General features: G+C 51.1%; 3 annotated features.

Annotated features, from left to right (window-relative positions):
• Positions 2,195-3,006: an enhancer, noted in NCBI's record as "H3K4me1 hESC enhancer chr7:151584831-151585642 (GRCh37/hg19 assembly coordinates)". NCBI's record gives its function as "activates a minimal SCP1, AML or CMV promoter by ChIP-STARR-seq in primed H9 embryonic stem cells {active_cell/tissue: H9 hESC(primed)}" and the evidence as "EXISTENCE:reporter gene assay evidence [ECO:0000049][PMID:30033119]".
• Positions 3,007-3,818: an enhancer, noted in NCBI's record as "H3K4me1 hESC enhancer chr7:151585643-151586454 (GRCh37/hg19 assembly coordinates)". NCBI's record gives its function as "activates a minimal SCP1, AML or CMV promoter by ChIP-STARR-seq in primed H9 embryonic stem cells {active_cell/tissue: H9 hESC(primed)}" and the evidence as "EXISTENCE:reporter gene assay evidence [ECO:0000049][PMID:30033119]".
• Positions 4,787-5,287: an enhancer, noted in NCBI's record as "H3K4me1 hESC enhancer chr7:151587423-151587923 (GRCh37/hg19 assembly coordinates)". NCBI's record gives its function as "activates a minimal SCP1, AML or CMV promoter by ChIP-STARR-seq in primed H9 embryonic stem cells {active_cell/tissue: H9 hESC(primed)}" and the evidence as "EXISTENCE:reporter gene assay evidence [ECO:0000049][PMID:30033119]".

Raw genomic sequence — 13,114 nt, forward strand, 5'->3', positions numbered from 1 at the left:
GAGATGAGATCATGTTGGAGAACATCAACTAGAAGAATGACACAATCTGATTCACGTTTTTAAAGGACCTTAGCAGCCTGGCTGCTATGGAGAGAAAAGACTGTGCAAGCAACAGGGAAAGAACAGGGGAGCACAGTAAGAAGGCCATCGTGTCATCAGGCAGGAGGTGACAGTGCTCAGGCCAGGGTGGGAGAGGAGCAGTGGCAAGAAGGCATTGTTATTTCTGGATATGTTTTGAAGACAGAATCCCCAGAATTTGCTGATAGATTGGATGTGGGGTCTGAGAGGAGGAAAGGGCAGCATGGGAGCACCTGGAATGATCCCACTTACTGGGACGGCAGGGGCAGGGAGGGGCTGGGGAAACAGTTTGCTTTTGGATACAGTAAACTTCAGACATACATCAAACACCCAAGTGAAGAGTCCAGAGAGACAGGGGTCAGGGTGACAAGAGACGCTTGTTTGGAAGTCGTCAACCAAGGGATGGAATTTAAAGCTGTGAGGTGGGAAGAGATGGTCTAGGATGAGAATGTAGACAGCAAAGAGGTTGGGACTGTACCTCGCAGCCTCCAACAGCTGGAGGCTGGGGAGATAAGAAAGAGCCAACAAAGGGACCAGGAAAGAACAGCCAGGGAGTCATCAGGGAATTGGGAGAAAGTGGCCTGCAGAGAGCAAGGGAGAGAAGAAGCAGTGAGTTAGAAGAAGAGGCAGAGTTGATGGTGACCTGGAGGCCACTGGTTAGCTTGCAGGAGCAGAGGAGCTTGAGAGCAGTAGCCTGCTGGGACTGGCTCTGGACATCCAGAGGAAAGGACGTGGTGAATAGTGAGAACTATTTCTAGGAACTTTGCTGTATGAGGGAGCAGAGAATGAGGTGGTGAGCAGGGAAAAATGTGGGTCAAGAGAGGGCTTTTTTTTTTTTTTTTCACGTGAGGGATATGGCCAGGCACGATGGCTCATGCTTGCAATCCCAGCACTTTGGGAGGCCAAGGCTGGTGGATCACCTCAGATCAGGAGTTCAAGACCAGCCTGGGAAATATGGCAAAACCCCATCTCTACAAAAAATTCAAAAATTAGCCAGGTGTGGTGGCACACGCCTGTGGTCCCAGCTACTCAGGAGGCTGAGGTGGGAGGATCGTTTGAGCTCAGGAGGTCAAGGCTGCAGTGAGCCAAGATCACACTACTGCACTCCAGCCTGAGTGACAGAGTGAGACCCTGTCTTAAAAAAAAAAAAAAAAAAGATGGGGGATATTACGGCATGTTTGTGTGCTAACAACCCTGTAACATTCAGGGGAGGGAGTTGTGTCGACGGTGCGGGAAAGAGAGGGGAAAACCTCATAGACAAGAGAGATGAGCTGAACCAGCGGCGTGGCCGGCCGCCAACAGGTGGGAGATGGGACAGATCACCCAGGTGACTGGAAGGGACCGCGTCGAATGCAGCCTGGGAGACACAGTCAGGGAGCTTGTGAGGCTCTTTCCTGAGCGCTTCTGTTTTCCCCGTGAATAAGAGGCAGTGCCACCTGTGGATGGGAGGTTTGAAGGGCGAGAAAAGGTGAGACGGACTCTGGAGGGGAGTGGGAGGCTGAGGTCCATGTGGACATTCTCCCCCCACAGAGGAGGCCTGCTGTTGATGATGTCCTCTATCTTTTCTTCCAACTCAGCAGTAAGTCTTGAAGATTGTGTATATCCTTTCATAGAGAGCTGCTTCATTCCTGAGAATGGCTGCCTAGTATTCCATGGTACGAGCATTGCATAATTTATTATCATTACTTATGTATTACCTTGTATTTATGTGTGCAGTCCTCTACTGATGAAAATGTAGGCTGTTTCCAATGCTGGAATGCTGTGCACATGTCATTTCACACATTTTGGAGTGTGCCGAAGGACAAATGCTTAGACAGGGACTTGCTAGAACAAGGTGTGAAGACATGATTCAGTTTCATAGACCAGTGATTTGTTTTCCTTGGGACGTTCATCCGTTTGCACTCTCACCCACAGTGTATGAACACGCCTGTCTCTCTACACCTTCATCGACACAAATCTATTTCTAACTTTTTGATATTTGCCCACCTCTTAGGTGAAAATAGTATCTCGCACTTTTACTGTGTATTTTTCTTGTGATAAATAAGAATGCACATCTTTTTACACATTCGCGTGTCTTTTTTGAGTTCTCTTTCTGTCTGTTGTCTATTTGTGATTTTTGCCTATTCTCCTATTGGGTAGTGGATCATTTTCTTATCTACTTATAGGCACTCTTTATATATAAAGAGATTAGCTCCTCATCAGTGGGTGGCAAATATTTCTTCCCAGTTATTTTTTGTCTTCTGACTTTGTTTATTATGCCTTTTCTCCATGCAGGATTTTTTCTTTTTATATGTTTTATTTCATTAATTTATTTGTTATGGCTATTTGGGGTTTTCTGCCATATTTAGAGAAGCCCTTCCTACTTCAAAATTATTTTTAAAATCTCTCCCATATTTACTTCTGCATTTGTACTGTTTCCTTTTTTTAACATAAAAAATCATATTACATTTAAATCTTTTTTTTTTCTATATGGCATTTATTCTGGAAAAGATGTGAAGCAGTGGAGGAGGAGATAGACTTTCACAGTAATTTCTGTCCTATTTATTGATGTTGGGCAGGAGGCCTGGGCCCCGGTCCTGGACCGGCGACCATCCCATGCCAGACTTGGCAGGCACGTGCCTCTCTGAGCCTCCACCGCCTTCATCTGTGAAGTGAGACCGCCAGGTGGGGTGATTTCCAAGGTCCTTGCCATCAGACCGTCGAGGAGTCTGTTGAGGATGCTCTCTCCCTTTCTCTCTGGACTCTTGGAGAACTGAGTCGGACACCAAAGTTTGTGTGGTGAGTACAAGGAGTGGCTGCCTTGTCTTCCCGCACTCAGGCAATAAATACTTATTGAGCGCATGCTGTGCGATGAGTCACCAGAAACCCATCTGCACTGATTGAGCCGCCAAATGCCCATCCTACTGATGGCAGATCAATAGGGCCCTTCCTCTACAGGAGCCTGGGAGTGATGATCCAGTGGACATGCAGACAGGAAAATACCAGCTGAACCCACTCCCACCACAGAGTGAGAAACACAGGCGTGGAGGATTTTCCATTTCACGGTGTGTTCATGGATGTCAGCTCATTTCATTCTTACAGTAAGAATTATATCCCCACCCCTACCCTGCCACACACAAATACAAGGTTTGAAAAGGCTGAGTGACTTACACAGCGGCCCTGTTGGAGATCACCAGGCTAACAGCCATCAGCGGCAGGTCAGAGCCAGGGTGTTGTGGCTCTGCACGGAGCCCCACATGCCGATTTAATGGGCTCTGCCATGGCTAACGTTAAATGTCAATGTGGCCAGGCTGCGGTGCTCAGCTGTTTGGTCAAATGCCGGTCACATGCTTCCGTGAAGGCCTTTTTCAAATGAGATGAACGTCTAAATGAGTGGACTGAAAACAGATCACCCTCCATCCTCCACAGCAGGGTGGGTCACATCCAGTCATTTGGAGGCCATGGGAGAAAAGACTCAGATGCCCCAGGGAAAAAGGAATTCTGCCTCCAGACAGCCTTCTGACTCAAAGCTACAACCTCAGCTCGCACCTGAATTTCCAGCCTGCTGGCCTGTCCTGCAGATTTCAGGCTTGGCAGCCCCCATAATCACAAGCTCGTCCCTTAAAGTGAATCAATCTTATCAATCTCTCTCTCCTCTGTGTGTGTGTGTGTGCACGCGGTGGGAGGGAGGGGAGTAAGTTTAAAGAATGGCTGCGATATACACATATATAAGTATATGTATGTACATTATACATACACACATACATATACAAACACTATTGCCTCTGTTTTTCTGGAGAACCCTAATATACTTTTCCTCCCAGGAAAGTAATTACTAATGGTGGAATTTCAGCCTCTGCAGAAGAAGTAGGGGCCAGGGCTGCGGTTCCTTTTGGTTGCTTCCCTAATGACACCACCCAGGGACGTGCCTCTGTGTGCGCTGGCCTTGGGACTTTAAAGAGGTGCACAGGAAGGAGCCTGGGCTCTGGAGTCAGACCTGCCTGGCTGCTTGCTGCTGGTGTGACTGCAGGCAAGCCACGTAGCCACTGAGCAAAAAGGAGAGAAGGATGCCCAGGTGTTTGCAGGCAGCAGGGCTGGCAGAGGCTCCACTCACATTCGTTCCTGTCTCTTCCTTGATGTTAGTGCAAATACCAGACACACAGCTGTAGCACCGTCAACGTGGTTTGCTTTCCAGAATCTTCTGGAAAATTGCAAAAAGTCCACAATTTCCTGGGCACATGCCCTGTTGCCCTCTGAAGCTAATACACCTGGCCCCCAGAGGCCACCCTCACCGCAGAAGAGAGTGTGTTTCCTAGAAGGCTGTTCCCGTGGGTCCAGGGCAGCCGGGGACCTGGCACCTTGGAGTTAGGAGCAGCGTTTCTCAGAGTGGCCCTCAGGCCCTGCTTCAGAGGGTCCAGGAGGTGCCTGGGCTCCTTCCCCAGGCTGTGGTTGGGGGATTTGGGGTAGGGCATGTGTATGCATGTGTGTGTGCTTGTGTGTGCATTCATATGTGTGTGCATTTGTGTGTTCGTGTGTGCGTGTGCATGTGCAAAAGTGTGTACATGTGTGCATGTGTGTTCGTGTGCGCATGCGTACGTGTGTGCATGTGTGTGTGCGTGTGGACATGTGTGAGCGTGTGTGTGCATGTGTAAGCATGTGTGTGCACTCACGTGTGCATATCGTTTGAGATCCACTGCCCTGGCCCTTCCTCTGCTCCTTCTCCTGGGAAGTATTTTGGGAACCAGAAAAAAAGCAGTCACACATTTTGCATCTGTCTTTCCTGCTAGAGAATTGCAGGTGCTGTGTTGAGCCACCCTGCTGTCACCTGACAGGCTGTCAAGGATGCTGTGGAGAACGCCCTGCGCCACAGAGGCTCTGGGCAGCAGAGCAGGGCTGCCTCCCACCTCACTGCGTGGGCGGAGCTCCTTCTCCCAGGGAGGGGAATGTGGAGAGGGGATGCCAGCCTACTTCCCCTTTCCATTTCATGCCGGTGATATTTGCTGTTATTTGGACTATTATTGCAAACATCTTCAGATCTTTGCTGAAGAGAGACTATGCCATGTGAGGTGTAACAGTGGGGGTGTTGGTTGTTATAGGAATTGCTGATTTTACATGAGTCTTTTTCCAGTGACTTTTCGATAACTGAATGACGGAATGAGCTCGAGGCCCATAGATGTGATCTACTTCAGGGCCAGGCAGAAAGAAGGGACTTTTATTCAGTCAGAAGCGGGATCACGTGGGATTTGAGAAGAGTGATCCTTAGCAGAGCTGGGCTTTGCGCAGGGGACTCTGGAGGGAGAGGAGACACAGGGGCTGTTTGGGTCAGGGCTCCAAGGAGAAGGGCACAAGGCCACTATGGAGAGTGCTGTTTCTACCGGGAACTCTTGGAGAGGACTCCATTTTGTTACAGCGGCCAGGGCTCCATGGGTGCTAACCACCTTGGGGATTTGATAGTTTGAAACAAACAAACAAAAAGACATACGCTAAGATCTCTAGAGAGAAATTCCTGTTCGGTCTTAAACCAAGAATAGTTGTCTTTCTCCTGAACTCTTGGTCTGTTTGTATCTTGTGAGTCCTAGAGCTGACTGGAACATAATCACCCAAGCTGTGGCCCACCCACAGCAAGTGCGTGCTCCTGGCTTGACGTATACACACATCTGCTATTGGAGGAAATTACCTCTCCCAGCACAGTATTTAGGTCTGGTAGGGGACGCTGGTATTCTGCCTCCCTAGTCCCTGGCTCAGCCTGTCATAATCACCCCCAGTCGGGAGACTTGGTCTTGGTGGCCAATCAGAGCCTTCCTTGTGACTCTGGCGCTGACAGAGCCCTTTCCATTCTTATCTCGAGGCAGTTAGACTTCAGCCTGGCACTACCCCTGCTCCAGGGACGGCCAGACTGGGAGCCAGGGTACAGTACTCAGAGATGGGAGGAACAGCAAAGCCTGGGTTCCTGTCATCCTTAAGACCAATCCCTCCTCTGCTTCTCCCTGTGAGTCAAGAACATTCCCATATTTTCTTAAGATAGTGTGGGATTCCTGTCTCCTGCAATGCAAGAGTCCTAACGAATAAACTCACTTTTAGTTAACTTAATCATGTTGTCATTTTTGTCCATTTGTAGGTTATTCTTTCTAGAACAAGTGGAGGAGGTAAAGAAGCGTGGCAGGGAGGAGAGAAGCAAAGAAGGAAAGACACGTTGTGTCAGCAGAGCTATAACTAACATGAGTACCTGTTACTGAGCTGCTGCAGCCTCTCCTCTGCCCCACAGCCCCCACAGCCTTCATTGTGGTCAGGTAGCCCTGCACTCCTGCGATCCCCGGGCAGCATCAGGGCGGGAGCAGTGTTGAACAGGGAATGACTTTGGTTTTATCACAAAGCCTCCATGCTGGGTGTCTGTGGGGACGGCAGACTTGTGGTTCATAAAATCCCGAGTCTTTGGGTGGGTGGGCTTCTGACTCCGATTGGTGCTTGTGGGATGCCAGAGTCATTTCCAGGCTCAAGTAAAGCAGAGGCATTGGATCTTCTTGTTACTCTGGGGATTTAGACGAATAACTGGTGGAACTTGAGTGCATTAATCTTCCCCTATAGGAAAATAACTTTTCCCTTTGTAGTCGAAGAGAGCCTGACTAAAGCTTACTAATAACTGGGATTAGCAATGTCCATTAGTAATTTTTCAAGTTACTTGAGCAAGAAAAAAAATAGCGACTGCAGAAGCCAAAACTCAGAACCATCAGCTGATGTTGGTCACTTACTTTGACAAGCATAATTCAGATTCCATTTATTTATGGTTAAATTCCCGCAGCACTGTAACCAGATAACTCTGGGCTGAGGGGATGGGCTGAGGAGTGAGGAAAAATAAACCTACTTTCCTTTTGGTGTACTCTTACCTGTTCCTCATTTGTTTGACCCTAGTATCTCTTTCCATTTTAAAATTCAGATTCACAAAATGGGCCAGGTGTGGGGGCTCACGACTGTAATCCCAGCACTTAAGGAGGATGAGGCGGGCAGATCACTTGAGGTCAGGAGTTCACGACCAGCCTGGCCAACATGGGGAAAGCCCATTTCTACTAAAAATACAACAATTAGCCGGGCGTGGTGGCGGGTGCCTGTGATCCCAGCTACTCGGGAGGGTGAGGCAGGAGAATCGCTTGAACCTGAGGGGCTGAAGTTTCAGTGAGCGGAGATAGCACAACTGTACTCCAGCCTGGGCAACAGAGCAAGACTACGTCTCAAAAATGAACAAACAAAACAGATTAACAGAATGGTTGATCCTAGGACTACATGAGATTGCAAAGTATCCTGTCTTGTGTTCACTTCTACCCATTTTACTTTTATTGAGAGTGAGGGGGAGAATGTCACAGAATACAAACACCAGCATTATAATCTTCCACTGGGAAGATCCACATGTACTCGAATGATTTTCCCAATGCTCAAAATATTTTAGAACTTCTTTAAAAAAAAATGTAGCACCACTTTGTGAAATGAAAAATAGCAAAAATGTCCATTTCAATAAACTTGTGGTGGAATATTTGCGAAGAAGCTTAGCAACATCACCAGCATAGAAGAGGCATGTAAATGATCCCGTTGAAATTCCCGCAGCAGGTCAAAGTGAACTCCCTTTATTCCAGTCTCTGTCCACATCTCTCCAGTCGTGGATTTTACTCTAACTGACCCTTATCAATGAAAAACTGGATCTGCTTCAGACTGAAATCCTAGCATCACAGGGATTGCTCAGTTCAGCTCTCTCTTAATACAAACAAACAGTTTGCCTCCCTGTTTTCTACTCTATCTGTACAGTCATGAGGCCATGCCAAGATGGGATTAGATGTGCAAGAGATTTAATGGAAGGAATGCCTGTGAAGGGTAAAGGGAGAAAGAGCAGGAGTGGGTTCAGACCTCCGGGGAGCCTGACACCTGGAAGGAAGGATTGGGTAGGAAGGGCCTCCAGCCTGCAGCTCAGTTCTGAGCAAGTCTCGGCCAGACCGGGGTGGGGGGTCACCAAGCACATTCTTCAGTTAGAGGATGCTGGGAAAGGGAGGAGTGGGCTGGCTCTGGGCTGCCACCCTGCCCTGTCCTTGCTTGGGGACAGGTGGGGAGAGTGTGAAGGACCCAAGAGAGGTTCTGGGCTGTCAGTCAAGGATGCCAGACCCCCAAGTGCCTGCATTGTGATTCTCCCCCGGGATGGCTGTGACCCCCCGCTGCGTCACCCCCCACCTCCACACCACCAAGGCTGTGGCAGGTTCTCAGGGAGGAGACCCTGGTGGCCACCGCCATGGCTGTGGCGTCATCTCTGAGACCACCCAGAACCCCGCCTGCCTCACATCCTCCTCCAACCTCATTCCCTGATGCTCCTCAGCAGTATTTCCCCCAAAGGTCAGGCAGGCTGGCCTCTCTGGCCTCTGTGTATGATGTTATGGGTTAAATTGTGTCCCGTGAAAAAGCATGTTGAAGCTCTACCCCCAGGACCTATGAATGTGACCTTATTTGGAATAGGGTCTTGGAGATGTGATCATGTAAGAGGACGTCACACTTGATGAGGGTGGACTCGAATCCAATAGTCTTTAGAAGAAGGGAAAACAGACACAGGCAGAAACCCACAGGGAGAAGCTTGTGTGGCGACAGACGTGGAGATTGGCATGATGCTCTGCAAGCGGAGGGACGCCAGGGGCTGCCTGCAGCACGAGGAGCTGGAGGAGGCGGGGAGAACCCTCCCATGCAGCCTTCAGAGGGAGCGGGCCCGGCCCACACCTTGACTGCAGACTTCGGCCTCCAGAACTGTGAGAAAAGAAAGTTCTATTGTTTTAAGCCACCTGGTTTGTGGTGCTTCCTTACCCAGGTCTTTCTTAGCTGCCCTCTGTGCCTTTGTCCGGGCCCCCTGCTGCCTGGAACACCCTCTCTTCTCTCCCACATCTCCCCGGCATCTGTCTCCTTCCAGGCCCCACCTGGAAGCTGCAATAAGGGCTCAAGCCCTCCCCGATCCCTCCGCCCTCTCCGATCCTCCGTCCTCCCCACTCCTCCGCCCTCTCCGATCCGTCGTCCTCCCCGCTCCTCCGCCCTCCCAGTTCCTCCGCCCTCCTGGCTTCTCTGCCCTCATCGCTCCTCTGCCCTCCCTGCTCCTCCATCCTCCCTGCTCCTCTGCCCTCCCCAATCCTGTCTCCTCCCTGCTCCTCTGCCCTCCCCAATCCTGTCTCCTCCCTGCTCCTCTGCCCTCCCTGCTCCTTCGTCCTCCCCGCTCGTCCTCCCTCCCGCTCCTCTGTCCTCCCCCCTCCTCCATCCTCCCCGCTCCTCCGCCCTCCCCGCTCGTTCGCCCTCCCCGCTCCTCTGCCCTCCCTGCTCCTCTGTCCTCCCCGCTCGTTCGCCCTCCCCGCTCCTCTGCCCTCCCTGCTCCTCTGTCCTCCCCGCTCCTTCGCCCTCCCCGCTCCTCTGCCCTCCTTGTTCCTCCGTCCTCCCCGCTCGTTCGCCCTCCCTGCTCCTGCGTCCTCCTCACTCCTCCACCTTCCCTGCTCCTCCGTCCTCCCTGCTTGTTCGCCCTCCCCGCTCCTCCGCCCTCCCCGCTCCTCTGCCTTGCTGTGTGCCCAACACTTTCACGGGCTGTGCCACACCCTTCAGGTTACGCTTAATTATACACTGACTTGCCCCATTTATTTTCCTCTCTCGCCTTGCTCCATAAGAGGCTTTTAGGCAACGACTCCTCCTTTTCTTTGCCGAGAGGTTTGTTTCTGTTATAACTTTTCAAGACTGACTCCATTGTTTATTTTTGGAGCCAACTAGTCTTAGACCTCAGACCTCAGCACACTCAACAGGCCTCAACATGTTTTGAGGGCCTGCCGGAGAAGGCCCAGGCCTCACGGGTGCAGGTCCTACAGAAACCCAGTATCTGAGAGCAGCCTCTGTCCATGTTCTGACACTGGTCAGACCACACCTGTGCAACGCTCACTCCCAGGCCGCAGGGGGCTTTTGGTCTTTTAGGACTGACTCCTTCATTTGACCAGTCATGGTGTCATGCAGACTAAAGCAAAAGCTATGAATGGTGGGATTTGGGCAGAGCCCCAGAGTTAAACCCCCTCAAGCGTCAAACTCCAGAAAAAACAATTCCAGATCTTGCCGCATGACAGTTATGCACAGAAAGGGGACATGAGGAGCCATTCCAAATGTGAATCAGAGGTAATTTGCATTCAGCGTGTCAGCAGCCACATTTAGTCCCTGTAAGCTTAATTAAGGCAGACAGTAGCTCATCTGCAATCACGGCCAGTGCATCACCAGGCTTTCATGACACACCGTGTAAGCTGGCAGAACGGCTTTAGAGGGAGCTGTGGGATGTGAGGAGCCTGCCCGGGCCCAGCTGTGCTCTCCCGGCGCCAGGTGTCTGTGTGCCTGGCCTCTGGGAGGGCTCCGGAGAGCTCCTTCTGACCTGTGACTTAGAAACTGAGGGTGCAGCATCACTATCCTTGCTACAGAATCCCAGAGGAGCCTTGGGGGCCCTCTGCTGTCATCCCCACCCTCACCCCCCCACCCCCCACTTTTCACTGAGGAAGATACTGAGTCCAGAGATGAAGAGTGACTCATTCAAGGTCACAGGGCCACAGAGAGCCATGCTGAGCCACTGCTCACAACATAGCCGGCTTCTGCTAGACAGACACCCTGCATGAAGCTTCTCCCTGAAGCCAGGCAGGTCCTGGGCTCCAGTCACCCACCAGCCCCAGCATGACTGTGCACCTGCCTCGGCTTCCTCAACCACACAATCAGCACCCAGAACACGCAGTCCTTTATTTTAAGCCTTGAAGGAGGAGGCCCATGAGGCAGCATCCTTATGATCACTGTCATATGCCACAAATCAGAGGAGGCCGCAGAAGGAAGGAACCAAGTTCCTTCATGAGGATGTCAGCCTGGCTTGGTCGTGCCTGCTGGGATGGGCATTTCAGAGAGCCACACGGCAGGAGGAAAGTCCGGCCGGAGCAGAGGGAGGTGAGGGAGGAGCAGTGAGGAGGCTCAGCCCCAGGTGTCTGGGTCCCATGTGACCCTTATGGTCACAGAAGGTACAGCAGATGTCACAACTCCAGTCGTGGGGCCCCAGGGTGGCTTCTCCCTGGATAGTTCCTTTGCCTCCTTATGCAGCAAAGGGGTCTTTGGGACTCCTTGGGAAGGGACAGCCCCCAACCTCAGGCACACCCACCACTGAGTTTGCTGGGGGGGGCCCTGAGGGCGGGCCTCTGTGTCCCTTCTGTCTGTGGGTAATGGGGTGCTCGGGTGCCCCTTTTCCAGGAGGCTGCTCATTACTAGCCCAGAGGTAGGAAGGGCCCACACCCCTCTTTACTTCACCATGAGTGGGCTTCAGAGGTAGAGTGAAAACACCCAGGCTTTCAGGGGTTGTTCCCGGGGCCAGTTGGAAGGAATGTCTTAGTGTGTTTGCGTTGCTATAAAGGAACACCTGAGGCTGAGTGACTTAGACAGAAAAGAGGTTTATGTGGCTGATGGTTCCGCAGGCTGTACCCAAAGCATGGAGCCAGCATCTGCTTCTGGTGAGGCCTCAGGCTGCTTCCTCTTATGGAGAAAGGTGAAAGGAGGCCAGCGTGTGCAGAGCTCACAGGGCAAGAATGGGAGTGAGGGAGGGGGGAGGTGGGGCTGGAGAGGGAGCAAGGGAGCTGGGAGGTGGTGCGGGCTCCTTTTCACAGTCAGTTCTCACGGGAGCTAAGAGTGAGCACGCACTCACTCCCTTGCAAAAGGCACTGAGCCACCCAGGAGGGATCCGCCCCCACCATCCAGACACCTCCCACCAGACTCCACCTCCAACCCTGGGGATCACATTCCAACAGGAGATTTGGAGGGGACAAATATCCAAACGGTATCACCGCCTCCCTCCTGGATGAAGCTGTGCCCTAAACGGTACCTGAAACCTGCCATATTCCCAAACACAGAAAAAAAAAATCATGGTTGATCTAGACAAAGATACCGCAAACGTAGCGTGCTGTCTTCAGTCAGATCAATGCACTCCCTCCAGCTCAGCAACTCCGATTTGCGTGCACAGGGTGTCTCTCCTGCCGCCTGCAGCTTAGTCGTCTAATCGTGTTTCTCACCCTTGTTTGAATAGCTCTATTATATCTGTGCTTTGTATTGTATGTGATCTCACATATTTTCCTTCTAAGTAGGACAGGTACAAATCATGCATTTTATTTATAACTCTGCAGTTAAGATCAGAATCTGACAGTGCAAAATGGCCGAGGATTATAGAGAAAAAACACTGCTGGTGAAACAGGCTGATGTGCTCACCTTGCTTTCACCCTCTTCTGGGTTTTGATAGTCTCATCACTCACACAAAGACAAATGCTCATTATGTAGTTAATTATTCAGCCAGGAGGCATTTATCGACTATAATCTCCATGTGGCCAGCACATAAGTGGCATGTTTTTTGGAGGATACAAAGAGAAAATACTGGTCCCAAATGCCCAGAGAGGGGAGAAGACGGCTCCTTTCCATGGAACATGAACACGCCAGCCCTCACTCATTAGTCCTTATAGCTGTAATTATAGCACTTTGAGAGGCCAAAGCAGGCAGATCGCTTGAGCCCAGGAATTTGAGACCAGCCTGGACAACATAGTGAGACCCTGTCTCTGAAAAAATAATAAAAAAAATCGACCTCTGATCTTTAACGCATTTTTGGTGGTAGGTGTTGTCACTACTTCACAGATGAAGAAATGGAGACTTGGGGAGATTAAACAGCATGGTAGAGATCACACAGCAGTAAATGGCAGCGCCAAGACCTCACTGCTCTGTGGGCCCCAAAGCAGCTGCCCGGCAGGGGAGCCGCAGGGGAGCCAGGCGGAGTCATCCCACTTTAGACGACTGACCCCAAGCCTAAGTGGCCCCTGCGTTGCCCAGGACACAGTAGACTCCCCAGGACCTGCTCCCCCAGATGGCCATCTTGCTGCCTGAAAAAGGCGTCCTGATCCAGACCGCAAGAGAGGGCTCCTGGGTCTTGTGCAGGAAATAATTCAAGCCGAGAATTCGGATTGCGTGAGAAGAGAGAATTTATTGAAAGCTGCTCAGTGTGCAGCCCCATCCG

This window comes from Homo sapiens, chromosome 7 (assembly GCF_000001405.40).
Source record: "Homo sapiens chromosome 7, GRCh38.p14 Primary Assembly".
NCBI classification, from domain to species: Eukaryota; Metazoa; Chordata; class Mammalia; order Primates; family Hominidae; genus Homo; species Homo sapiens.